The 27,669-nt window shown below is 44.8% G+C and overlaps 3 protein-coding genes across 36 annotated transcripts in view; 2 read left to right on the top strand and 1 right to left on the bottom strand.

Annotated features, from left to right (window-relative positions):
- GPBP1L1 (GC-rich promoter binding protein 1 like 1) overlaps nucleotides 1-18,318 on the top strand; it is a 60,807-nt gene extending 42,489 nt beyond the window's left edge. For 10 of the 15 annotated variants that reach the window (XM_024448810.2, XM_047427059.1, XM_047427066.1 and 7 more), the window contains 7 exons: nucleotides 3,123-3,195; nucleotides 5,219-5,412; nucleotides 11,386-11,526; nucleotides 11,975-12,133; nucleotides 15,016-15,140; nucleotides 15,944-16,046; nucleotides 17,214-18,318. In XM_024448810.2, coding sequence (XP_024304578.1) covers nucleotides 3,123-3,195; nucleotides 5,219-5,412; nucleotides 11,386-11,526; nucleotides 11,975-12,133; nucleotides 15,016-15,140; nucleotides 15,944-16,046; nucleotides 17,214-17,366 — 948 coding nt within the window. In that variant the 3' untranslated portion in view covers nucleotides 17,367-18,318. Of the gene's footprint in view, nucleotides 1-3,122; nucleotides 3,196-5,218; nucleotides 5,413-11,385; nucleotides 11,527-11,946; nucleotides 12,134-15,015; nucleotides 15,141-15,943; nucleotides 16,047-17,213 lie in introns of those variants that run through there. The other 5 variants (XM_047427077.1, XM_047427075.1, XM_047427076.1 and 2 more) reach the window with 2 other exon arrangements.
- Nucleotides 18,319-21,567: 3,249 nt separating this feature from the next.
- On the top strand, nucleotides 21,568-25,578 carry CCDC17 (coiled-coil domain containing 17). 13 transcript variants are annotated; one of them, NM_001190182.2, is made up of 13 exons: nucleotides 21,568-21,886; nucleotides 21,970-22,065; nucleotides 22,210-22,405; nucleotides 22,505-22,667; nucleotides 22,788-22,871; nucleotides 22,955-23,073; nucleotides 23,274-23,381; nucleotides 23,627-23,745; nucleotides 23,887-23,984; nucleotides 24,138-24,341; nucleotides 24,509-24,719; nucleotides 24,789-24,899; nucleotides 25,189-25,578. In NM_001190182.2, the coding sequence occupies exons 1-13, from the start codon at nucleotides 21,713-21,715 to the stop codon at nucleotides 25,345-25,347; spliced, it is 1,842 nt and encodes a 613-aa protein (NP_001177111.1). In that variant the 5' UTR covers nucleotides 21,568-21,712; the 3' UTR covers nucleotides 25,348-25,578. The 13 variants fall into 13 exon arrangements, with proteins under 13 accessions (NP_001177111.1, NP_001108410.2, XP_016855941.1 ...); NM_001114938.3 differs by having other exon boundaries at nucleotides 22,183-22,405; XM_017000452.2 differs by having other exon boundaries at nucleotides 22,183-22,405; nucleotides 24,509-24,899.
- NASP (nuclear autoantigenic sperm protein) overlaps nucleotides 26,729-27,669 on the bottom strand; it is a 34,853-nt gene continuing 33,912 nt past the window's right edge. For all 8 annotated transcript variants that reach the window (XM_005270888.4, XM_011541509.3, XM_005270889.4 and 5 more), the window contains one exon: nucleotides 26,729-27,561. In XM_005270888.4, coding sequence (XP_005270945.1) covers nucleotides 27,481-27,561 — 81 coding nt within the window. In that variant the 3' untranslated portion in view covers nucleotides 26,729-27,480. The remainder of the gene's footprint in view (nucleotides 27,562-27,669) is intronic.

Here is a 27,669-nt window from a genome sequence, read left to right as displayed (position 1 = left end):
TAAAAGAGAGTTAGCATGTGATAGTTATATGATCTCACAATCTGGACATAGTATAACTTTTTTAAAGTGGGAAGATGGGGAGAACATGTCCAAAAAAAACAAAACATTTTGGTCACTGGTGAAATACTGACATTGCTATTCTGAAACTTGTGCATAATATGGAATAAAGCAATTAAATATGATATTCTATACTTTGTATGCTTGAGAATCAGGATTCTTGTAGGAGGAAATAAAAACGTAAAATAGATGTTCCGTAAAATCCACAAGGGTACTCAGTTTGAATTGGGAATATCAGTAATAAGTTATGAGGTGTTTTAGCTTTGGAGTGAAAAATACATACTTCTAGGCGGTTCTGTCCACTGAAAAGACATAAAAACAGTGAACAACCCCATAGCAATGAGTGGCTCTACTGCCTGGATTGTGATCTTGAAATAGTTTATCCAGACAGCATACTTAAAAGAAGAGCTTGGAATATTTTTTCAAACTAGATAACAAAGAAGTAAAGAACTACTTAGGGTTGTAGCAAAAGGATTTAGAAGCCAAATTGAAGAGGGTTCCATAGGCCAAACATGGGACAGTTTTATGCATCAATTAATAATAATAACGACGAGGGTTGAATCACATCAAATTGGATTTAAATCTGTGAATTCACAATGATACCTACCTCACCTTAGGAACAAGCATGTATCATATTTTTTCTATATGAACTGTACTGTTGAATTGCCAAATAGGGGAAGTTCCTATTTATGGAAGTATACTACTTTATAAAGAATTGTAAAATTAGATCATTGTTTTTGCATCTTGTATTGAGCTGACAGTTTTAGGCTATGAGCACCAGTGTCTGCCAGCATCACTAAAAGAAGCACAACCACATGTTATTTGTGTGTGTCTCCTAATGGAAGAATACAAAACCACTAAGGATTCTGTAACCTCTAGAACCAACTACCAATTTATAGAAAGAGGCTTAAGATTTTCTAAAAACTAGTAGATTAAAAGCTGAGATTGTTTTTGGAGACAAAACTATAGTGTCAAGGGAGACACAATGGGTTAGTAAAAAAAAAAAATGCAGTGATCACCATAAGTATGAGTAGTTTTGGGGTTTTTTTCTAATGAGATTTGTAATGTCTTTCTGGTTTGTCTGGTAATGTTATGTTGCTTAAACCATGTAGTGTTTAAAAGAACTTTTACCCATTAACTTATTCATTTGTTTTATATTTTTCCTGTTTATATTTTACAAGTTTTAAAACTGTATTTTTTAAAACAGTAGAAAGAGATCAAAGATACTGTATAAATAGGAGCATTGTCTCTGAGAACCCTGGGTACAACATGCCTATTAAAATGAAACAAGGAAACAACCACAGCTTTTATGGCTGGGCACTCCTTCTGCCTCTACCACTCCATCTAGAGGAATGTATTTACCTGTCCTTGAAAATCTGTCACTGATTTGTCCACTTATATAGAGAGTTGGTAGTTTCATTTGCATTTGTGCTTGTTCTCCTATTGTAGTGGTTCTCACCTTGATTGCTTGGAAAATACATACCTGCTAGAGGCCCTGCCCCTGGAGATTCTGATTCTGAAGCTCTGTAGTGGAGCCTGGGTGTCTTTTTGTTGTTTGTATAATGTTCACAGGCAATTGTGCTGAAAAGCCATTTTCCTGCTGGGCACAGTGGCTCATGCCTGTAATCTCAGCACTTTGGGAGGCCAAGGTGAGTGGATCACTTGAGGTCAGTTCGAGACCAGCCTGGCCAGCATGGTGAAACCCTGTCTGTACTAAAAATACAAAAATTAGCTGGGTGTGGTGGTGCGCACCTGTAATCCCAGTTACTCAGGAAGCTGAGACAGGAGAATTGCTTGAACCTGGAAAGTGGAGGTTGCAATGAGCCAGGATTGTGCCACTGTACTCCAACCTGGGCAACAGAGTGACACTCTGTCACAAAAAAAAAAAAAAAAAAAAAAAAAAAAAGCCATTCTCCTACCCTGTTACCAGATCGTAAAGTTTGGGCTAGGACAGCAGTGTCATACGATTAGTTATTAAGTCTAGTCTATTGCTCTTAACTCTTCCCTGCCCTTTCCCTTATCTCGTTCTCTACTTCTGTTACCTTTATTACCCTCCCGGACTATGGAATTGATCTCCTAATGGTCTCTTAGTTGATGTTTAAATACCTCAGATCCATCCTTTAAGCTGCTACTAGAGTGACGGTTGTAAGTTGATAATTAGATAATGTTAACTGCATGAAAGATGGATCCTCATTACCTGTAGAATAAAACTTAATCTCCCCTAAGAAATCCTCCACAAGCTGGCTCTTGCCTGCTTTGCCAGATACCTCTTTCCCCACAGAAGGGTCCCCTCCTTCCCTAGCACTACTCATGCTGAACTATTTGCAGACCTGAATATTCTGTTCTTTTTAATGCTTTCTGTTCCTGGAATTACCGTTTTTCCAGCTTTGGAATTCATCTTTAAGGATTCTTAAATCACCTGTTAGTAAAGCCTTTTCTGATAGCACTTCTCTTTCAAGTAGAATTGATGTTTCTTACTGAGTACTCCTTCTTCCCTAATATGAATTTTTTTCATCGTCCTTGTAACCTTTTATTGTACTTAACTTGTCTAGAAGTTTTTATAGCAAAACTGTGACCCGTGTGAAGACAGGGGCTCTTTATTGTATTTCTAGCACAGTCCTTGGCATATGGTCTGCCCCTGCCCTACACCCATCTTAGAAATGCAGTGAATACTATACATTTCACTGACCACATTGTCCTCCTTTAATCTGAGGAAAATGATCCACATTCTTGTTCATCTAACTTTCAGTGCCTCCTTATTTGGCATACATATCCTATAGGAAAGTGGGAATTCGCACATTTAGTCTGTTTATTTAAAATAAATGAAATCCCTTATATCAAAGGAAATGAAACTCAGGAGAACCTAATATTAACATAATACCTATTGATTTTGTGTTTTGATATTTTCTGTTTGTTACGTTTCTGAATACAGTGTCAAATTAGTAAGTGTTGCTAATATGTAAAATATGTAATTATTTGATAGGTTCCATGGTGATGGCTACTTTGTGAAAAGTGCCAAAATGATCAGCTTTCTGTATCAACCATTCATATCCCTTTTTTCCTAGCCTTCCTTGAATCCAGAAGCTGGCAAACAGCATCAGCCATGCAGACCTATTGGGACACCTTCTGGAGTATGGGGTAGGTAGATTTTGCCATTTTAAAGGCACAACTTTAAAATTTTTTCTTAGCAGGGAGGGGAGCAAAGATTCCTTATCTCTTTTTATCTCTTGTTTCTCATCTCATGCATTTGCCCATGGTAACTAACATCTGACTGTAGCGGGTTATTCTGCCCCCTACCCCACCGCCCAACCCCCAAACACCACTGAAATGTTACCATGGTAGTAGAGTCAAAATACAGACAACTGAGAACTTATAGAACCGTGAATTTGGAAGCAGTTGTTTTGGTGGTGTTTGTTAGTCTGTTTGTTTGAGACAGTCTCATTCTGTTGCCCAGGCTGTAGTGCAGTGGCGCAATCTCAGCTCACTGCAGCCTCCACCTCCCTAGCTGGGACTACACCATGCCTGGCTAATGTTTGTATTTTTAGTCCAGACAGGGTTTTACCATGTTGATCAGGCTTGTCTTGAATTCTTGGCCTCAAGTGATCCACCCATCTTGGCCTCCCAAAGTGCTGGGATTACAGGCATGAGCCACCGTAGCCAACATGGAAGCAGATTTTAAGTAGAAAAAGTTCATGAAAAGTAACTTAATTAACATTGCTACTTCACTTACTTTTTTTTTTTTTTTTTTTTGAGATGGAGTCTCACTCTGTTGCCAGGCTGGAGTGCGGTGGCGAGATCTCAGCTCACTGCAACCTCAGCCTCCCGGATTCAAGCTTTTCTCCTGCCTCAGCCTCCTAAGTAGCTGGGAATACAGGCCTATGCCACCACGCCCGGCTAATTTTTGTTATTTAGTAGAGATGGGGTTTCACCATGTTGGCCACGATGGTCTCGATCTCTTGACCTCATCATCCGCCTGCCTCGGCCTCTCAAAGTGCTGAGATTACAGGCGTGAGCCACCATACCCAGCCCATAACAATATATTCTTAAACATTCATATATATGTATGTTTAAATATTCGTGTGTGTGTGTGTGTGTGTGTGTGTTTATGTGTATGTGTGTGTATATATATGTTTGTGGTTTTTTGTTTTGTTTTGTTTTGTTTTTTGAGACAGAATCTCACTCTGTCGCCCAGGCTAGAGTGCAGTGGTGCGATAGGAATCTGTATTTCAAACCAAACCTCATCTGTGGCATTGGGATCTTTGGCATTTACAAATTGGACTCTCCTGGTTTCTTCATTAGACATGTTGATAGCCAAGAACATGGGAAGTCTTTAACATATCTAAATGATGGGTTTAGAATCCAGTATTGTAGGATTAAGATTGATCGATGTACCTTCTCCTCTTTGCTAATGGTGTATACCTTTGCTCCAGTTTGCCTCATCAGAGGGTTTCATGGCAGACTCCAATCCCTGATTACCTCATCTCTCTATTCTCATGCTGACAGGAGCTGCTACTTTTAGGTGTTTTTTTTTGTTTTGTTTTTGTTTTTTTGAGTTAGGGTCTGACTTTGTCATCCATGCTGGAGTGCAGTGGCACAGTCATGGCTCGCTGCAGCCTCGACCTGGGCTCAAGTGATTCTCCCGCCTCAGCCTCCTAAGTAGCTGGGACCACAGGTGTGCACCACCATGCCTGGCTAATGTTTGTATTTTTTGTAAAGATGGGGATTTGCCACAGGGTTTGCCAGCCCAGGCTGGTCTCGAACTCTTGGGACTCAAGTGATCTGCCCACCTCAGCACCTCCAAGTGCTGAGATTACAGGCATGAGCCACAGTGCCTGGCGCTTGGATTTATTCTTGTTGGGTTCATGCTTAACTGATCACACTGTCCATCAGACATATTGTGCCCCTGAAGGACTGCTAACATCTTTGGACTTCCTGGCTGATTTATAAATTTAGTATCCAGTTCCTCATATGCTGCATTTTTTTGTACAGTTCCTGAGTAGTCTCACTTTTGAGAGTATCTATTAAGTGCATACCAGGGAATGTTTAATCCCTCTGTCTCAACTGTCAGCTGTTTTGTTGACTAAGGCCTTTGTATAAACTATGCTTCATGTTACACAACAGGTTTGACATTCTGTTGTCTCTCCACTCTTGTACTTCACAGAAAACCCGCCTAGTGCCAAGCAACCCTCCAAGATGCTAGTTATCAAAAAAGTTTCCAAAGAGGATCCTGCTGCTGCCTTCTCTGCTGCATTCACCTCACCAGGATCTCACCATGCAAATGGGAACAAATTGTCATCCGTGGTTCCAAGTGTCTATAAGAACCTGGTTCCTAAGCCTGTACCACCTCCTTCCAAGGTATGATTTAGAATCAGGGCAAGAACCTTATACAAGAGAGGTTTGGGAATAAATCAGGAAAAAATTAATAAATTTGTTTTTTCTTGCCGCATCAGTCACCAGATATTCTTTCAGTACCTGTTATATGTATACAGCTTTCTTTGCTTTTTTTTTTTTCTTTTTCTTTATTTTTTTGAGACAAGGTCTCACTCTGTCACCCAGGCTGGAATGCAGTGGCACAATCATGGCTCAGTGTGACCTCAGCCTCCCAAGTAGCTGAAACTACAGGGGCACGCCATTATGCCCGGCTATTTTTTTTATTTATTTTATTTTTTGTTTTGTTTTGTTTTTTTGAGATGGAGCCTCGCTCTGTCACCCAGGCTGGAGTGCAGTGGCACGATCTCAGCTCACTGCAAGCTCCACCTCCTGGGTTCACACCATTCTTCCTCAGCCTCCCGAGTAGCTGGGACTACAGGCGCCCGCCACCACACCCGGCTCGGTGTTTTTTTGTATTTTTAGTAGAGACGGGGTTTCACCGTTGTTAGCCAGGATGGTCTCAATCTCCTGACCTCGTGATCCGCCCGCCTCGGCCTCCCAAGGTGCTGGGATTACAGGCGTGAGCCGCCACGCCCAGCCATTTTTTTTTTTTTTTTTTTAATTATTTTTTGTAGAGACAGAATCTCATTTTGTTGCCCAGGCTGGTCTCTATCTCCTGGCCTCAAGGAATCCTCCTGCCTCAGCCTCCCAGAGCGCTGAGATTATGGGCGTGAGCCACCACACCTGGCCCCTCTGGTTTTCTGTAATAGCAACAACATCCTAATCACTCAGCTTGACTATCTTGGCTACTTCTCTTCTCTTCCTCCTTAGTCATTCTCCTCAGCCAAGGAATTACAAAGTCCCTGTTATTCTCTCTATGCTGTCCTTGTTCAGGACTTTGTCTTCTCACATTTACTGTTCTAGTATACCTTTCTATTTTCTCATGTCTCTGTGTCCTACAGAACTGCCAGAATGATCATTCCAAAAACAATTGAATATATCACATGCCTTCCTGAATTCCTTCAGTGGCTCCAAACAATGTATGGCAGGGATTGGTAATTTTTTTCTATGAAGGGCCAGATAATAAATATTTTAGGCTTTGCTTGATATATATGATTTTTGTTACACATTGCCTTTTTTTTTTCCAGCTCTTTAAAAATGTAAAAATAAGTATGAGCTCATGAATCATACAGAAATGCCTTGGTCAAGATTTGGCCCATGGGTCATAGTGTGCTAGTCCTATAGTCAGTGTGCAGAGTAAGCAGAGGTCTGTGAAGTTTCTCATAGCCAAACTCTAATCCATCTTTTGCATCTTATTGCCCCTTTTTTCTCTTACCCGGGAAGAAATTATTCTTCTGGCGCATGCCATCCTCTCTGTGAATAATTTTCTTTCTTTTCTTTCATCTATTTATTTAAAATAGTGATTGGGGTCTCACTATATTGCCCAGGCTGGTCTCGAACTTCTGGGCTCAAGCCATCCTCCCACCTTGACCTCACAAAGTGCTAGGATTACAGACGTGAGCCACCGTGCTCACCCTCTGAATAAATTCACTGGGAGTTACTATCCTAGTGATAATGATTGGAGTTTTCAAGGTAGATTAGATATACAAGAGAAGAGGATGGAAGAAGAGAAGAGGATAGAAGAGGAGTAAAGAATGGGATAGTACTGAGAAACTAGTTCAGAAAAAAATGGTAAACTCTCACAGAAATACAAGTGGGTGAGTTTGCAATAGCAACAGGGGTAACAAGTTGAGGAAAATAACTGAGAAAAAACCTTAGTGATTATCTTAGGAGACTTTTGAGTTGATGTTTTTAGGGAATAAAGTAGGGCTGAAACAGTATTTCAAGGGCTTTTGGAAATATGTGGAGGTAGTGGCACCTTTTAACCTTGACAGTAAAAGGAACTAGATAGAATATAGGCAGTGGAAAAGATAAGTGAATGGATGAGGAAGTCTGTTGGAAGAAGCCACTGGAAGCAACTTGAACTGTACTTGGAAGAGATCATTAAAGGATTATGGGCCAAGAAGAAATATGTGGGAATAAAACTAATTGACAAGTACAGTTATCTTTGAAAAGGGTTTAGGATACTTAGGGTTTATTTTCCTCTGATGTAGAAGGGAAAGAATGTGAATTCAAGTGAAGAGAGCAACTATTACAAAGAAACAGCTGAGCATGGAAGTTAACTGCCGGGCTATGGAATAGACAGATTTCACCTTACACCTTCTTCATCTTACGTCCTTGAGCAAGTTTCTTCACTTCCCAGTCTCAGTTTCTTCTTCTATAAAATAGACATAACAATGCCCCCCTTTTTTTTGTGAGGAGTAAATGAGAAAATTTTATGAAATACCTAAAACTGGCATATAATAAGTGCCAATAAATGGTAGCTATTGTTACCAACCTGCCAGCACAACTTATGTTTGTCCCATTTCTTGAGAGTTTATAAAGACTTTCTTAAGTGTTACTTTAAGATGTCTGCAAGCATTCTGCAGGACTACAGAAAATATAAAAATGAGTAAGAAAATGTCATTGTGTCCTCAAGGATCTCATAAATCAAAAGGTAAAAAAATTTTTACAAGGATAAAAATTATGATACAAAACTTAAGATCACTTTAGCCCTGTTGTGAGTCAGGGGTAGAATGAAGATTGGAAAACTAATATAAAGGCTGCTGCTCTTGAAGCTTGAAGAGGATGGTAACAGTTGGCAGAGAATGGCAGAGATGGTAACAGTTGGCAGAGGTGGTAATGGCAGATAGTGGGAGGCAAATTAGGCAGCAAAAGAAAACAGAAGACATTCTTCCTGGGAAAATTGGGGTAAATATGGAAGGTCAGGTTTCAGGAAATGTGATTGTGGTTCTGGGTACGTAGGATATGAGATGTTAGAGGGAGGAAGAGGTAAGATAACTAATAAGCAGATGTTGATTTATCCATTCATTTTATCTAAACATTAGCAATAATTATTGAGTATCTGAGTAGTAAACACTGTGTCACTAGAGACACAAAATAATACTTGGCCTGTAATCGCAAAGAGTTTACTGTCTAGTGAAGAAAGAGTTATTTGAAAAAAATTGTGCTTCTCTGCCTGGGGAGGGTCATCAAAGTCTTTACGGATAACTGGGATTCAAATACATGATAAAGGAAAGAGAACTGCCATTTGTTGACATCTTACTATGTTGCTTGGTTAGGGCTTTTACACATATTAAAGCATTTACTCTTTTAATCCTGGGATATAGAGAATACACACTGTGGGGTTACATAGCTAATAAGTGATAGAGTCAGGCTTTTAACTCAGGTCTGACTTCAAAACCAGGGCTCTTTCTACTGTTCCAGAATGCCTCCTGTCTTGAAGGATGAAGAATAGAAGAGGAAGTTGAGAAATTAATCTTTTGACTCAAACTTAACTAAGTTGAAATCTTTGTGACACTTTCTAGGGTTGTGATCTTAAGCAAGTTATTAGATTTTGCTAAACTCTTCTTGACAGTAAATTGGAGCAAGTACTTGGAATATAGTTTTTGAAACATCCTAATTACCCAGTAAGTGGACGTTTAAAAACAGTAGTACAGTAGTTCATTAGAAAGCAAGTAGGTAGGGCATTCTCGGCAGAGGGAACCTGTTGTTAACCAGAAAATGGATGCAGAATATGGTATGTTTGGAGTAAAGGAACCATATTGGTTCGGTATGGCTGGTATGTGAAAGTGAATGGGGAAGTCAGACTTGATGGAGGCCTGTATAAAAAGAACAGGAGAGAAGTTAAAGTAGGTAGAGATGCAATTTTACATATTATCTACACAATTTTAACATTTTAAACTGAAACAGTTATAAGTAATTGCTTTTTCTAATGAAATTCACCTAGTTCAACAGACTACAGAAGAAGAAGAGTACTGAGTCTGGAATGCTAGTATACTTACATCCATTGAAAAGAAGGGAATTCAAGAGGTAAAGAGAGAACTGAGAGAGTGAAGCATCAGGAAATCAAGAAGGGAAAAAGGGACAGGTTCAGAAAATATTCATAATGAGCAATATCGCATTTCCCAAAGAAGACAGGTTTTTTAGAGCTGGCCTTTGTAATATAAGGATGAAAGTTTTGGTTATTTATGAAAGAGTTTTACTAAAATTGGGGATAGAGGTGAGTATTGCAGGGAACTAAGCAGTAAATAGTTAATGAACGAGTGAAAGATAATGTATACTGACTTACTCAGAAGTTTGGCAATAAGAAGGTGGTATATAAGATTGAGGGAAAATAAGAAGTCTGGCCTTTTTCTCCTAATTTCAATAAGGTGGATTAGCATATTTGATAAACCCAAAAGGAAAGAGAAGAAAGTGCTAGAAAGGGAGGAGGACATTCCTTTGAACTTGAGGGGCAAACGGCAGAGGAGGTGGGAGAAAGTTTGAGCCCAGTGATTTTAGAATTTTTAGTCCAGTAGAAGAAGATTCTGAAGTGGAGCAAGCTAGGGTTGATTCAGAATTTAGAGGAAAAGGAGAGAACATTTAAAAAACAACAACAAAAAAAACTGGTTATACAATTCACTTTAATGGACTTTTACATGTATAATCATCTAATAAAAACAGGTGTGGGGCATAATGATTTTTCCAGGGGGTAGTCTAGCTATCTCATAGGGTTTAAGTTACTGAAAATTAAGTTGAAATAAAATTGGCACAGACATAGATATTCTGTTTTATGTAACAGAGTAAATCTTTTGTACTACTGTGGCAGAAACCCAAGTGTTTCTGTGCTCTGGAGTGACATTGTTTTAAAGACAGGACATCTGGTGACTACAACTCAGGGGAAGCCACAAATCATCTTTGAGAGTTAACCTGACACAAGCAACCATCTTTAGATTTTTATCAATGCAAGAAAAAAATTAATCTTCATTCTGGTTGGGTCATCGTTTCTCTTATCTGCTTGCTTGTTCTTTGTGGAGGCATTTTGGGATAGTGGAAAGGTGGTTTCATTTACTAGCTGAATAACCTTGAACAAATTGTGGAACTTCCTTATTGTCAGTGTCATCCTCTATTAAAAGTCAGCGTAACAATTATTATTCCTGATTGGTTTAAGAATTAAATAAAACAGACTGACCATCACCTGGTACATGGTAGATAGTAAAGTTAATTCCTTTCCTAAAGCTATTATTGTGTCTTCTTTTAATACCCATCAATCAAGAAAGCAACCAGGAAGGGAATCCATTTCACTCAGGCCCCTTTGTCCTGGAGGTCCTCTGTTCTAAGTGTTTCATTCTGGAAAAATAAGTTGGAAGTTTTTCATTTGCTTCAGCACCACTCCACTGGCTTGCCACATCTTCCTTGGTCTCCTTGGACAGTGTGGTAACTCAGTATTCCAGCTTTCTATCATACTTGGGGTTATGGCCAGAGTGACAGAATGGGCCCAGACCCTGCAGAGTTGAGTAGACGGGCCTCCAGACTAAATAAATCAGGATTGTTCAACCATTTACAATAGCCACCCTGGCCTGGAACTAGCCTTTTGCCATCAGAGTTCCTGGAAAGCAGCAATTTTGTGATGCACTTTGTGGGCTATCAGGATTACATCCAAAGTTAACAAACACTACTAAAAAAAGTTTTGGGATTCAATAAATTAGGAAAATGCTGCATAACTGCCTCTCAAATTCTTATGTGCAGTTAAGTGCTTTGAGAAATTGCACAGTGAAGAACCTTGTTGAACTTTTTTCACCCCGGCACCTCCCAAACTCATTGAACTATTGAACTAGAGCCCTGTTTTTGGGAAGTCACTATTAATGTCCAATGGCTCTTCTGTATCCCATCTACCATTTTCCTTGAAGTGCCTAACCTCCGAAAGAGGTTGCATACTTCCCAAACATGTTAAGACAGGTAAGCCCTGGAAACTTATGTTCTCATGTAACATTTCACTCTTTGCTTTATGATTTTATAAGCTGAGCTTCTGTTTGTGTGCTTGTTCTGACTGATTTGTTCTTTCACCCTGTGTAGCCTAATGCATGGAAAGCTAACAGGATGGAGCACAAGTCAGGATCCCTTTCCTCTAGCCGGGAGTCTGCTTTTACCAGTCCAATCTCTGTTACCAAACCAGTGGTACTGGCTAGTGGTGCAGCTCTGAGTTCTCCCAAAGAGGTGAGTGAGGATGAAGCAGGACAGTCTTTTCTGAAATTGCCATTTCCCGTTCACTTAGATAACAAGTGTAATATGTATAGCTGTGACACTTGTTTTGTAGCTATATTTAGCTGAGAATAGTTTCTTTATTGATGTTTTCTGTTAGCATCCAAAAGTGGGCAGTGGCTAAATGGGATAGATGCTCTGTGGTGGACCAAGGTCATCCTATGTTAGACTGGCATTCTGCTGATGTCTGTAGAAAGATCAAAGAGGTGCCATGTAAGCCAGCTGCTCTTAACTATATAAACCCTGCAAAACTGAAGTTTGAACTGCTTAAATAAAAGGATTGTTTGGTTTAAGACAGAGTGATAAATAGGCTACCAGATTCTTGAAGTCAGCACTTAGTAGAAGAGAACCCCAGTTCTTGCTCTTTGCTGTCAGGAGCAACCTGTTTGTGGTATTTGCCCAGAGTCCCTCCAGCACCACCCCTCCAATTGAGATCAGCTCCTCTCGTCTGACCAAGTTGACCCGCCGAACCACCGACAGGAAGAGTGAGTTCCTGAAAACTCTGAAGGATGACCGGAATGGAGACTTCTCAGAGAATAGAGACTGTGACAAGCTGGAAGATGTAAGAGCATCCGCCTTTTCTGGGGGTAGCCTAGGAATTTTCCTTTGATACATACGTGATTTCTTCTTCTTAAAGGATAAAGATGTGGCAAGATTTTTAAATGTACAGAGATACTGTCTGTAGGTGTAACTGCCTTCTAGACCACATAGTAAAGTGAGTTTAATCCTTTTTTCAGCAAAAATGTTAAATTCGGGTTTATTTTAGTAATCACTCACCTATTGAAGTACATCTTGGTTGCTTCCAAGTGTTGGCAACTATGAATAAAACTGCAGTAAACATCCATGTGCAGGTTTTTGTGCTGGCATAAGTTCAACTCCTTTGGGTAAATACCAAGGAGCGCAATTGCTGGATCATATGGTAAGAGCATGTTTAGCTTGTCAGGAAACCACCAAACTGTCTTCCAAAGTGGTTGTGCCATTTTGCATTCCCACCAGCAATAAATGAGAATTTCTGTTGCTACACCTCCTCACCAGTATTCGATATTATCAGTGTTCTGGATTTTGGCCCTCCTGATAGGTGTGTAGTTTTAATTTGCACTTCCATGATGACATATCATGTGGAGCATCCATCTATGTATCTTCTTTGTTGATGTGTTTGTTCAGGTCCCTTACCCATTTTTTAATGAGGTTGTCTGTTTTCTTATTGCTAAGTTTTAAGAGTTCTTAGAGTTCTTTGTATATCTTAGTTAATAGTCCTTTATTAGATGTGTCTTTGACTACAGTTTCTCCAAGTCTGTGATTTGACTCTTCATTCTTTCTTATTTATTTATTTTGAGACAGAGTCTGGCTCTTATCACCCAGACTGGAGTGCAGTGGCACGATCTGGGCTCATTGCAACCTCCGCTTCCCGGGTTCAAGCGATTCTCCTGCCTCAGCTTCCTGAGTAGCTGGGATTACAGGCACCCGCCACCACGCCCAGCTAATTTTTGTATTCTTAGTAGAGATGGAGTTTCGTCATGTTGGCCAGGCTGGTCTTGAACTCCTGGCCTCAAGTGTTCTGCCTGTCTCAGCCTCCCAAAGTGCTAGGATTAAAGGCATAAGCCACCACATGTGGCCATATTTATTTATTTGTATTACTTTATTTTTTGAGATGGAGTTTCACTCTGTTGCCCAGGCTGGAGTGCAATGGAGCAATCTCAGCTTACTGCAACCACCGCCTTCCAGGTTCAAGCAGTTCTCCTGCCTCAGCCTCCCAAGTAGCTGGGATTACAGGCATGTGCCACCACATGACACACGTTATTTAGCTTCTTAGCTCTGGCCAGAGGACCAGGAAACTACAGTGCAGAACAAGAGGCAGAGGAAGGCCAACCTGCTTCCTTGAAGACCAAGAGCTCAGACCATAACTCTGGAACACAGCCTTGTGGTTCTGATAAGGAATTAGACCTGTGAGGATGAAAGAGTATACTATTTTCTGGAATTTTTTTTGTATGTAGTAGAGACAAGGTTTCACCATGTTGGTCAGGCTGGTCTCGGATTCCAGACCTCAGGTAATCCACCCACCTCAGCCTCCCAAAATGCTGGGATTACAGGCATGAGCTGCCATGCCCAGCCGGCCATATTTGTTTTTGAGACAGTGTCTCACTCTGTCGCCCAGGCTGAATGCAGTGGCATTAATGATCACAGTTCACTGCAGCCTCGACCTCCCCTCCTCAAGCTATGCCTCAGCCTCAGCCTCCCGAGTAGCTGGGACTATAGGCTTGTGCCACCATGCCTGGCTAATATTTTGTTTGGTACAGAGATAGCTTCTTGCTATGTTGCTCAGGCTGGTGTTAAACTCCTAGACTCAAGCAGTCCTCCCACCTTTGGCCTCCGAAAGTGCTAGGATTACAGGTGTGAGCAACTACACTGTCTTTTAATTCTCTTGACAGAGTGTTTTGCAAAGCAGAAATTTTTTTTATTTTAATGAAATCCAGCCTAATTAATTGTAGGCCAGTCACGGTGGCTCAAACCTATAATCCCAACACTTTGGTTGGCTGAGGTGGGCGGATCACCTGAGGTCAGGAGTTTGAGACCAGCCTGGCCAACCTGGCGAAACCCCGTTCCTACTAAAAACAGAAAAATTAGCCGGGCATGGTAGCATGCACCCATAGTCACAGCTACATGGGAGGCTGAGGCATGAGAATCACTTGAACATGGGAGGCGGGGGTTGCAGTGAGCCGAGATCGCGCCACTGCACTCCAGCCTGAGCAACAGAGTGAGACTTGATCTCCAAAAATAAGTAAGTAAATAAACAAATAAATAAATAAATAAATGTCATACCCAAGGTAATCTAAGTTTTCTTTTATGTTATCCTTATAGGAGTTTTATAGTTTTGTGTTTTACATTTAGGTCTGTGACCCATTTTGACTTTATTTTTGTGACGGCTGTAAGGTCTTTGTTTAGATTGATTTTTTTTTTTTTAGTGTGGCTGTCCAATTGTTCCCTCACCATTTGTTGAAAAGACTATCTTTTCTCCATTGTATTTCCTTTGTCAAAGATCAGTTGTCTATTTGTGGGCTCTCTGTTCTGTCCCATTGGACTATTTGTGTCATCTTCTGCCAGTACCACACTTTTTCCCCCCACACCTCTTATGAGCACTGTTACCATACTGTTTTAATTACTCCAGCTTTTGTGGTAAGTCTTGATGTCAGGTAATATCAGTACTCTGGTTTTATTCTTCAGTATTGTGTTGGCTGTTCTGGATCTTTTGCCTTTTCATTAAAACTTTAGAATCAGTTTTGTTGATGCAGCAGGTCCTCATTTGTAAATGGGGAAAAAAATCTGTGGGCTGAGGCTGTCTTTTGGAAAACACTTCCTGGGTCGTGAGTCCTTGATTTCATAGGTTGCTTATATTACTACAAAGGAACCTTAAACCAACTGTGTCCTTCCTTTTCCTTATTGCAGTTGGAGGACAACAGCACACCTGAACCAAAGGAAAATGGGGAGGAAGGCTGTCATCAAAATGGTCTTGCCCTCCCTGTAGTGGAAGAAGGGGAGGTTCTCTCACACTCTCTAGAAGCAGAGCACAGGTAAGTGAGGAGGACATCACAGGGCATGCAGTGTCTGACCTTTAAGGACCTTGAACATACTGGAGAAGATATCTCAGATAGATAGGTCCCACATGCAGAGAGAAGTGGCCCAGTCATAACTTGTTCTCTGTGTATGCCCCAGGTTGGCCTGTTGCTCATCAAGCATTCTCTCTCAAACTCAGCCATCTTTTCCACAATCTACTCTCCAATACTTTAATACTTTTAACTTCAGGCCGGGCGCAGTGGCTCATGCCTGTAATCCCAGCACTTTGGGAGGCTGAGGTGGGTGGATCAGTCAAGGTCAAGAGTTTGAGACCAGCTTGGCCAACATGGCGAAACCCTGTCTCTACCAAAAATACAAAAAGTAGCTGGGCATGGTAGTGTGCGCCTGTAATTCCAGCTACTAGGGAGGCTGGGACGGGAGAATGGCTTGAACCCGGGAGGCGGAGGTTGCAGTGAGCTGAGATTGTACCACTGCACTTCAGCCTGGGTGACAGAGTGAGACTCCATCCCAAAAAAAAAAAAAAGCCAGACTGCAAGTGCTCTCTTTCTTCCTTACACTGTCTTGGTTTTGCTTCTACTGTCTCTTCTTTAGCTCTTCCTCTCTCAACTGTGAAGAGCCTCCATTTATTTACAGCACCCAGGTAGCCACAATTAAAGCTTGTCCCACAGGGAGGAAAACAAAATTCCTTCTTTAACATCCATTGCCCCTGGGCAGAAAACTTTTCTGTGAAAAGTGGTGGGCTGTTCACTTAGGCTTAGTGATGTTGTATTCTCTTTACCTGTCCTTCTGCGTCCACCAGGTTATTGAAAGCTATGGGTTGGCAGGAATATCCTGAAAATGATGAGAATTGCCTTCCCCTCACAGAGGATGAGCTCAAAGAGTTCCACATGAAGACAGAGCAGGTATGTTGTAAACCTTCTTCCTAGAGACCAGTTAGTAACCAGGAGAATAAGGAGTCAAGACAGTTCTTGCCCTGAGGGAGCAAGTTTAATGTGAGAGAAAGATCGGGTGGGGGGGGGGGGGATTACCTTAGTAGAAATGTAGTGGGGCCCCTAAATCTGCCTGGGAAATAAGGATCCCCAGTGTTATATACAAAAACCAAGTGTCAGTGATTAGCAGATTCCAAAAAATAGTATGCTCTTTCATCCTAACAGCTCTAACTCCTTATCAGAACCACAAGGCTGTGTTCCAGAGCTATGGTCTGAGCTCTTGGTCTTTAAGGAAGCAGGTTCACCTTCCTCTGCTTCCTGATCTGCACTGTAGTTTCCTGGTCCTCTGGCCAGAGCTAAGAAGCTAAATAGCTTGTGTCAGTTTATCCAGCAGTTGCTTGGATTCTTTCTCTGAATAAAACACTGCTAGATCTTAGGGTGAACAAGACAAATGGGGTTTCTATAAAAATCCTTGAACTTCTGGTGGCCTGTATTTACAGCACAATTGGCCAAGTCCTTAAAAGGGGCATGGCACAAGCTGATGTGAGACCTTGCCACTTAGAACTCTGTTAGAAATAAGGACTTATGGCTGGGCACAGTGGCTCACGCCTGTAATCCCAACACTTTGGGAGGCCGAGGCAGGCAGATGACGAGGTCAGGAGCTCAAGAGCATACTGGCCAATATGGTGAAGCCCCATCTCTACTAAAAATACAAAAATTAACTAGGCGTGGTGGTGTGCGCCTGTAATCCAAGCTACTTGGGAGGCTGAGGCAGGAGAATCGCTTGAACCCAGGAGGCGGAGGATGCAGTGAGCCAAGATTGTGCCATTGCACTCTAGCCTGGGTGACAGAGCGAGATTCCGTCTCAAAAAAATAAATAAATAAAAAGAAATAAGGACTTTCAAGCCCCATCCCAGACATTCTGAATCTGAATCTGCATTTTTGAAAGATGCGTAGATGACTCGTAAATTAAAATTTGAAAAGTACTGGTATAAGAGATCTCAGAGGGTCTCTTAGAAGCACCCCCCGCCCCACATTCTACCTAGAATTGAATTGAGGCCTGGCCTTTCCCAGGGCTTATGGGTCAGTACAGTCATTGATATTTTTTTCTTTTTTCTTTCTCTCCCATGCTAACCATAGCTGAGAAGAAATGGCTTTGGAAAGAATGGCTTCTTGCAGAGCCGCAGTTCCAGTCTGTTCTCCCCTTGGAGAAGCACTTGCAAAGCAGAGTTTGAGGACTCAGACACCGAAACCAGTAGCAGTGAAACATCAGATGACGATGCCTGGAAGTAGGCATATAAATGCTCACAGTTAAATCTGACCCAGTAAACTCTGTGTGTTTAGGGAGTATACAAAAGAAATCGTTCTTTTCCTTTTCTTATGTTGTTGAATACTTCATTCACAAGGGAAATAATCATATCCCAAAGAGAGAGCAATTGGCTTGTTTTGCTTTTGTTATTGTTCTTCCCTGTTATCTGCTTTATAGAGAGAAGTTTGTGTGGTGGGACAGATTTTTTAAACACACTCACACACACACACACATACACACCCAGTATATATGGGGCGATGCACAGGTAGGAGCTGGCAGTGCAGGGAAGAGGAGACACTGGTCTGCAGCAACAGCTTCTACTACCAGCCCTTGGGGCACTCACCCCTGTGATCAAGCAATCATTGTCAATGACAAAGTGACTATTGAAGTTATAATTGTATTAAATTAATGCTAATAATTTGGATATTTTATTTTATTTTTGGCTGCTCGGGTAACTTTAGCCCTTAACCAAGCATATGTGGGTTTTTTTGGTTGTTTTTTTTTGTTTTTTTTTTCTTTTTCCTTTTTGGGTACAGCTGTAAAATATTTGGATATAGGAAATGTTGTGTTATTCTTGCAGCCTTGATATTCAGGGTGGATTGTAAAATATAAATTTTTGTGAGATTTCAAAGATTAAGATTATTTTGATAACATTATTTACAGATTTAAAAGATGTGGTTATCACAAGTCTCGAGGGGGAAACTACTGCATAAAATAACTAACTTGGAATAAATATTTTGCATCAGTTTGGATTGTCTTGTGTAAGAAGTATATTTTCTTTAAAATTAGATGAGTGGATTCTTTTTTAGGGGAAATATTTTTAGAAGTTGGGGGGAAATGTGAATTCAGACACAACTGTTTCTCTATTTTAGCAGATACTTTTTTGATGCAGAAAAACCTGTGCAATAAATTACCAGTAATAAAGTCAGAAACCAAGTTTTTTTTTTTTCCTGAAACTGTTTTTTAGTGCCCATGTATTTACCAGTGTACGTATTTTAAGGGAAGTCTGTTCTGTTTTCCTACTAAATAAGAACTTGGAGTGGGGGTTGGGGGAGAGTTGGACGATGGTAGCTGAATGGCTAGTGAAGGAAGCAGGTTTTTTCATTCAACAAATACTTTTTTTTTTTTTTTGAGACGGAGTCTCACTGTGTCACCCAGGCTGGAGTGCAGTAGCGATCTCAGCTCACTGTAAGCTCCGCCTCCCGGGTTCCCACCATTCTCCTGCCTCAGCCTCCTGAGTAGCTGGGACTACAGGCGCCTGCCACCACGCCTGGCTCATTTTTTGTATTTTTAGTAGAGATGGGGTTTCACCGTGTTTGCCAGGATGGTCTCGATCTCCTGATCTTGTGATCCACCCACCTCGGCCTCCCAAAGTTCTGGGATTACAGGCGTGAGCCACCGCACCCGGCCCATTCAACAAATACTTTCTAAGCCCGTGTTGTATGTCCCAGGCATTATGCAAGGCTCTGAGGATGCAAGGAGTGCCCAGCCCAGTAGGGGAGAGAATAGACAGTGATGTAAGAAAAGGACAGGGGTTCAAGACCAGCCTGGGCAACACAGTGACCTGTCTCTATAAAAAACAAAAACATTAAAATGGTCAGGTCCAGCCAGGCGTGGCTCACGCCTGTAATCCCAGCACTTTGGGAGGCTGAAGCGGGTGAATCACCTGAGGTCAGGAGTTCGAGACCAGCCTGGCTAACATGGTGAAACCCCATCTCCACTGAAAATACAAAAAATTAGCCAGGCATGGTGGCGGGCGCCTGTAGTCCCAGCTACTCGGGAGGCTGAGGCAGGAGATTGGCGTGAACCCAGGAGGCAGAGCTTGCAGTGAGCTGAGATAGCGCCACTGCACTCCAGCCTGGGAGAAAGAGTGAGACTCTGTCTCAAAAAAAAAAAAAAAAAAAAACAACCAGGCATGGCAGCAAGCACCTGTAATCCTAACTATTTAGGAGGCTGAGGCAGGAGAATTGCTTGAGCCCAGGAGGCAGAGGTTGCAGTGAGCCCATACTGCACCATTGCACTCCAGCCTGGGCAACAGAGCAAGACTCTGTCTCAAAAACAGAAACAAAATAGACAGGTCCACGTGGTAGCACACACTTGTAGTCCCAGCTTCTTGGGAGGCTAAGGCAGGAGGATTGCTTGATTCCAAGGCAGTTCAGGGCTACAGTGAGCCATGATGGCACCACTACAATCCAGCCTGGATGACAGTCCTGCTCCCGCCTCTTCGGCCTAGAGCAGGAGATTAGAGAACTACAAGCTGTCTCTTGAGGGAAAAAAAAAAAAAATGGTAGTAGTATTTCTACTGAATGCCTATCACTGTTGCACCATTGTAAAGTCAACCAGTCAAAAGTCTTAACCATTGAAAATTGGGACAAACTTAGTTGTTGAAAAGGAGGTTTTGATTTGGGCTTTGCCATTTACTTGTTTTCTGAGAACATATTTCTAAAAATGTACTCTTTATGTCAGTTGGAATTAAGCTGAACTGAGATGACATACTTTGAACACTTTGTAACTTGCTGCTGGTGGGTCATACCTTGGCTTTAGGTACTGAGTAGGGAAATGTCTTAAGTCCCTGTCTTGTTTAGAAAAGGGAGTTTCGGCCAGGCATGGTGGCTCACACCTGTAATCCCAGCACTTTGGGAGGCCGAGGCGGGGGAATCACGAGGTCAGGAGATCGAGACCATCCTGGCTAACACTGTGAAACCCCGTCTCTACTAAAAATACAAAAAATTAGCCAGGCATAAGGCTGGGCGCAGTGGCTCACGCCTGTAATCTCAGCACTTTGGCACGCCGAGGCGGGCGGATCACAAGGTCAGGAGATCAAGACCATCCTGGCTGACACGGTGAAACCCCATCTCTACTAAAAATACAAAAAAAATTAGCCGGGCACAGTGGTGGGCACCTGTAGTCTCAGCTACTCGGGAGGCTGAGGCAGGAGAATGGCTTGAACCCGGAAGGCGGAGCTTGCAGTGAGCCCAGATAGTGCCACTGCACTTCGGCCTGGGCGAAAGAGCGAGACTCCGTCTAAAAAAAAAAAAAAAAAAAAGCCGGGTGTGGTGGCAGGTGCCTGTAGTCCCAGCTACTGGGGAGGCTGAGGCAGGAGAATGGTGTCAACCTGGGAGGCAGAGCTTGCAGTGAGCCGAGATCGTGCCATTGCACTGTAGCCTGGGCAACAGAGCGAGACTGTCTCAAAAAAAGAAGAGAAAAGGGTGTTTCTTGGCCGGGCGCAGTGCCTTACGCCTGTAATCCCAGCACTTTGGGAGGCCAAGGCGGGCAGATCACGAGGTCAGGAGATCAAGACCATCCTGGCTAACATGGTGAAACCCCGTCTCTACTAAAAAATACAAAAAATGAGCCAAGCGTGGTGGTGGGCACCTGTAGTCTCAGCTACTTGGGAGGCTGAGGCAGGAGAATGGCGTGAACCCAGGAGGCAGAGCTCATTGCAGTGAGCTGAGATCGCGCCACTGCACTTCGGCCTGGGCGACAGCGAGACTCCATCTCAAAAAGAAAAAAAAAAAAGTAAAGAGGGTTTCTTAAGAAATATGCGGTCACCTCAGAGCTCCTCCATATATTTTGGGAGTGGGAGTGGAGTGAAGAATTTCACCAACAGTTCAGGGTCTTTCTGGCTTCTGGCCAATCTTGGGAGAGAGAAGGGGTTTTTTTCTGGACTTGATTCCCTCATCTGATAGATTCATTCTGTTCGCCCACAGCTTTCATTTCTTGGGCTGTGCTGATTATCTTCGTCTACAGCTGAAAAATGAGGAATCAGGGAATGGGAGTTAGGGAGACTGCTATCCCTGGTGCGACATGGTTTCCAGGCAGAATGCTGGAAAGGTCAGAGTGCCTCCTTTGCCAGGTAGTTCTCTGGATTGGAGAATGGTACAAACTGTTACATCCACTTGGGAGTACAGCAATGAAAAAGATGACACTTGCCTTTTAGAGGCTATTAAATGACCAATGATGTAGTAAGTGATAAGGGCCCAGCCTAGTCTAGGAGGCAGCTGCTTTTTCCTCTTTATTAATAGTCAGGGAAACCAAGCTACAATTAGAGACTTGCCCACGTTCAGACTTTGTAACACTTTTTCAAGCCAGTGGCTCCTCCCAAACGGCCGAGGTTTCCCCACCCATTCTCCTGACCTGCCCAGCCCTGTGGTTGCTGTCCAGGGAGCTAAGGCTCTCCCCAAACAAACTTGAAGATCTCACAGACCTAATAGACACGGCCTTTCCTCTCTGCCTCTGGCTTTATGTCTCTTTCATCCTCCTCTGCCTTTCCCCTGCCCTTGATCCCTTCTGCAGGTCTTGGCTGGTTTCAGGAAACGGGTCCCATCCCATGGACTCCCACTCTGGGGAGCCTGCGCTCCTGCCCTGTGGGACCTGTGACATGGTTTTCCGCTCCTCAGCTCTGTTAGCCACCCATACTCAGCGCTTCTGCATTGGCCACCCGACCCAAGAGATGACATTTGGAGCACAGGCATCAGTTGCCACTGAACCCCAGCGGGCCGCGGTAAGGGCCTCCATGGCCATGGGTGGGGATTCAAAGGAGCCAGGACCTTTATGATTCCTCATCCTACTACACCCTATCCCCAGGTTGTGCCACAAGAACACCAGGGCGTGCCACAAGAACCCCAGGGCCTCCCAGACCAGCAGGCCAGTAGATCTGCTCTAAAGAGGTTAACAGAGGAGGTAGAGCTACCTACCTTCCCCCAGGGCTCAAAACGTTGAGCGTCTTCCCCAAACCTGTAGATCATACTTGGGACAGATTCTGCCCACGCAGAGATCGCGGATCGCTGTTACCTCCAGGTGCAGTGGCTGCGGCTATCCCTACAGGAAATGCGGCCCTGGATAACAGAGGTCCCCAGGGTGTTCGCGGGGCCCTGGACACGTTCCGAGGCGCGGCCTCAGAGTCCCATGTCCGAGGCGGTGGGAAGCCCCAGCGAGCGGCTGCGGGCGCTGTTCAGGACTCGCGCGAGGCGCGTGGCGGAGATGGAAGCGCAGAGCCGGGCCCTGCAGCTACGCGGCGAGGGTGAAGGAGATGGGGGACGGGGACCAAGGACCTCCTCTGCCCTCGCCGTTTGGCTTAAGCTTGCTCGGGCCGGTTCTGACTCGGCCCGCATTCCCTCAGAACTGAGCCGACGCCTCCAAGTTGTGGCCTGTACGCGGGGCGGGATGTCCCGCCTCTTCGGCCTGGAGCAGGAGATTCGAGAACTACAAGCTGAGGCCGGGAGGACGCGGGGAGCTCTAGAGGTGTTGGGGGCCCGCATTCAGGAGCTGCAGGCGGAGCCAGGGTGAGACCCGACTAAGCGGATCCCCGGAACATGCGGCTCCGGGGTGGGAGGGGCGGGCTGGCTGCAGCCCCGGGGCCTCTGATGCGTTACCGTCTCCCTGCGCGTCGCCTGCCACCCCAGGAACCCGCTGAGCTCCCGGCGAGAGGCAGAACTTTATTCTCCAGTGCAAAAGGCCAACCCGGGAACTCTGGCTGCCGAAATCCGGTGAGAGCCGGGGCCGGAGATGGGCATAGGGCGAAGCGCTGAGCAGTTCTGGAAAGACGGCCTTCCTGTTCCCCACTCCCTAGGGCGCTGCGGGAGGCCTACATTCGAGACGGGGGCCGGGACCCCGGCGTGCTGGGCCAGATATGGCAGTTGCAGGTGGAGGCGTCTGCACTGGAGCTGCAGCGGTCGCAGACCCGCAGAGGTGAACAGGAGGGCCTCTCGCCAGCGGTGGTCAGTCCTGGGAGGAGAAAAGAACTCGAGGGAGGGCCTGTGGCTGTGGATGGCATGTGAGCTGACAAGTCCAGCCTTATCCGAAGAGCCTTAGCGCTGGAGAGCTGCTCACAGCCGGACGCGGCCAGTCACCAGAGGTCAAAGGTGACAGGTCACACTTGTTCATCGCAGGAAGGGCAGGTGCCACCTCAGGGGAGCTTCCAGTAGTGGAGGCTGAAAACCGGCGCTTGGAGGCAGAAATCTTGGCCTTGCAAATGCAGAGGGGTCGGGCACCCTTGGGTCAGTGAGCACCCCAACCCTATCCCATCCCACTTATCTCTCCCCAGCAGGCCTGGCTCAGGCAGACAGTGCATGGGGAACAAGACCCGTGTTTGTGACTCCCCTAGTTCATGTCTGCACGTGTGTATCCCTGTATCCACAGGGCTCCGCCAACCCATTTGTGGGCCCAACTCTTGGGGGAGGGGTATCTCAGCTAATTACCTGCTTTGTCCAACTTAGGGGCACCCTAACTCTTCTGCTCCTAGGGCCCCAGGATCTGCGACTCCTGGGGGATGCCAGCCTACAACCGAAGGGGAGGAGAGATCCCCCACTCCTCCCGCCACCGGTGGCACCACCGCTGCCACCACTTCCAGGCTTCTCGGAGGTTCAGTTCTTGGGTGGGGCAAAGGCTGTGAGGACACGGGGTGGGTTGGGGGAACAGGTTGGAGGCAGCTCTGCTCTGAGCAGTTGGGGGAACATGAGCAGCTACAAGGCTTTCTGGAGGAGTCAGCTCTCTTCCCCACAGCCACAGCTTCCTGGAACAATGACCAGAAACCTGGGCCTGGACTCACACTTCCTCCTGCCCACATCGGACATGCTGGGCCCTGCACCCTATGATCCTGGGTGAGGCCCGTGCCACCTTCGACAGCCTCTGTGACTTGGCCAGCACTGCTGGTTAAGGGAGCCCACTAGGACCAGATAGGGTTAGGGACCTGCCTGAGAGGAGGGAGGTTGAAAGGAGTTGGGTATTTCTGTGCTAAGACTTGTGTTCCCCAGGGCTGGCCTGGTCATTTTCTATGATTTCCTGCGGGGCCTTGAGGCTTCCTGGATTTGGGTGCAACTAAGGACTGGCTTGGCACGCGATGGACGGGATACAGGAAGGACCACAGCGTTGCCCCCAGCCCTTTGCCTGCCCCCACCTCCTGCTCCCGGGCCCATGGGCAACTGTGCCATCCTTGCCAGCAGGCAGCCTGTGCCCAGGTCAGTAGGTGGGGATCATGACTCTGGTACTCTGCCACAGTTGAGGCTTATCCACCATTCTGCTAAGTTTTCTCATCTGTATACAGAGGCCGCTGGCTCTAAAGGGCTAAGTCCTAGAAAGGGACTGTAGCTCTGGCTTCCGACACTGCTTTTTGGTTATTCTACAGACTACCACCCTCATCATCAGTATCTTTGGTCTGTGAGCTGCAGGTCTGGCAGGGGCTAGCATGGGCTAGGGCACCACAGCCAAAGGCTTGGGTCTCACTTGGACTATTTGACCAAGATCAGCGGGTGCTAAGTGGCCGCTGGCGCCTCCCACTTCGGGCCCTTCCTCTGGACCCCAGCCTTAGCCTTGGGCAGCTGAATGGGATTCCTCAGGTGAGTGTGGTGCGCAGGGATTGGGCATACAGCAAAGTACAAGTGCAATACCATTTCATCTCTCCCCAGGCAGGTCAGGCTGAGCTCTTTCTGCGGCTGGTGAATGCAAGAGATGCAGCTGTACAGACACTGGCAGAGATCAATCCAGCAAGTGTCCATGAGTACCAGTACCCACCTCCGGTGAGGGCCCAGCTGCAGCTAGGGACACCACAGCTACACATACCGGTGTGGCTGGTATGGCTAACGGCCAGCCTTTATTGACCACTGTGTGCCAGTCATTACCAATGCTTTCTTGTTTGATCCTCACATCTCTATGAAGTCCTACTATGTAACAGATAAGGAAATCAAAGCAGGAGCAGGTTAACTTGGTTCACAGTAAGTGAGACTCTAAGGAAGCCTAACTAACTCCAAAACCTGTGTGCTTAACCTTTACATTTTTGCTCAAAACCTGCCTTCTCCTGTTCCACAGGTGTCCAGCACATCTTCACTGGAAGCCAGCTTCCTCACCCCCGCAGTTGGCTTTGCTGATCCCCCACCTCGTACAGAAGAGCCCCTCAGTGGAGTCAAGGATAGAGATGAGGGTTTGGGCCCTCACCACAGTTCTGACTTGCCCCCAGTGAGTTTCTGAACCCAAGTGAATGTGGAGATGAGCATCTGAACATGCACAGGACTGGGGCCTATTTCCAGACCTACAGGTTTACTACTCCATGTTCTGACATTGGGTCTAGAAGCATCTAGCAGTTGAGTACAGAAAACCAGTTCCAACCACAGCTTTACCACCTCCCGTTAAGTCCTTAACTTTTCTGTACCTCTTCTGTTTTTGTAAAACAGATTAAGGATTAAATGAGTTTGTCAGGTATTTGTGATATTGTCTGGCACTTATGAAGTTCTCCGAAAGGTGACTAGGGGGCATTAATTCCCACTAAAGCAACTTTAAATTCCCACTAGTTCCCACTGCTTTTTTTGGTAAAGCCAGTTTTATTGCCAAACTTAAATCCGTTTCCTCAGTATTTCTGCCAGGAAACCTTTCAGGTTCTCAATGTACCCATAAACAGGAAGCTCCTGAGGCCTTATGTACTTTGATTCTGGGATAGGTCCCCAGCCCAAGGTTGTTCCCCCAACCAGGGGTCACATGTGAGATCTAGCTTAGATACTGTGCCTAGCCCTAGATCCCAGTGCCAACCAGAGAAGGTCAAGTGCCTGGGAGTAAACTACATCGTGACTGTCCTGACCAAGAAAAGGGGGCAAAGCGCCTCAGGACCTGGAACATATACTGCAAGGGCAACATCAGGAAGAAACTCCACAGCCAGGATAAGCCAGAGATCCTGCAACCATGAGTTACTGTGACCAGCCCAGAAAAACTTACTTAGTCTGAAAAATTGGGTTGAATTTAGGGGCCGGCCATCGCTTCCTCTGCCTCCAGTGCAACAAAAGCAGCCCTATGGGTGTCATGACTACTAAATTGAGGTGGTGATATAGGGCAGGCATTGTTTGGAATTCAGATCCTAACTGGTACTTAGAGTCAGGTCAGAGGCAGTTCAGTCTCAAGTGAGCCCTGACCCCTAGACACCAGTGAGAGCACAACAGGTCTAACATTAATACTAGTGCCCTCACCACCAGCATCCTTGGACTGGTGGGCTCGTTTCTGCCTTTGAAACCCTCTATCGCACACAGAAATGCTCCAGGCAGTCAGGTGAAGTGGCTCACGCCTGTAATCCTAACACTTCCTGAGGCCAAAGTGGGCAGATCACTTTAGGTCAGGAGTTCGAGACCAGCCTGGCCAACATGGTGAAACCTCGTCTCCACCAAAAATACAAAAATTAGCCTGTAGTGCTGGCTACTTGGGAGCCTCCTGAGGCAGGATAATCTCTTGAACCCAGGAGACAGAGGTTGCAGTGAGCCGAGATCACGCCACTGCACTCCAGCCTGGGCGACAAGAGCAAGATCCCATCTCAAAAAAGCAGCCTAAGACCCCACTTAAGATCTTTAAACATAATTCCAGACAAGGAGATTTTTAGCATCTTTATTTGAGAAGTCAATTCTGCAGATGGGTAACAATTCCAAGTGTTGATATATCTCAACCTTTCTATACAGAAAATAACAAAACTCAACCAGCCAGCCTCCCCACATATGCTTCCAACCACATCTGGAGTGTCCACCATCAGTCCCCTTGGCTACTTTCAAACCAGAGCTCAAATGCAGACCGTTTTCCTTAGGAATCATTCCCCTGACCCAGGTTTTCAGAGTTCTTTTTCCAGGACAGAATTATAGCCCCAGGTGAAGACTAGGTGGATATAGGACAAGAACCATCCTAGGCCTGGCTCACAGCCAAAGTCCATCATCCATTTTCAGCACTGAAGAGCAAGATCTTCACCAATTCTTGTTTTTGTAGCCCCCATCCAGGGACAGCACCACTGAAAGTTTGCAAGACAGCTGGGTTCAGTGAAGTGTTTGAAAACAGAATATAGCACCATTGGAAAACAAAGGCCTACAGCCACACTTGATCACCTCCACGTTAGACAGATAGGAATTAGGATCAGGAACACAGATCAGTACAGAAGGCCAGAACAAAACCTTTGGCTAATATATAAAACCAGCAGTGCTCCAAGGCAGATTCAGCCAATAATTAAGAAAAAAACCATCAAAGCCTCAACCTTTGCTTACAATCTTTATTGAAGTTATACAAAAAGAATCCTCCAAAAGTGAAAAAATACATTATATACAAAAACACTTTCCCTTGGGAGGAGGGCTGTGCCCCCTCTTAACATGCAGTGCTTTCAACTGTAGCTCCAGCCTCCACTGTCCCCTCCACTGCTGCCCGGCTTTCAGCCTGATTCTCAGCCTGGAAGACAAACAGAACCTGGGCATGAGTGAGCCTAGTTTAAGCCATTCTGTCTTATATAACTGAGGCCTCAGTCATAGGAAGCATATACAAGTCACCCAAACTCTG

Source organism: Homo sapiens, chromosome 1, assembly GCF_000001405.40.
Source record: "Homo sapiens chromosome 1, GRCh38.p14 Primary Assembly".
NCBI classification, from domain to species: domain Eukaryota; kingdom Metazoa; phylum Chordata; class Mammalia; order Primates; family Hominidae; genus Homo; species Homo sapiens.
Note: the sequence above shows the minus strand (reverse complement) of the source record. Positions and strands in the feature narration are given on the sequence as shown.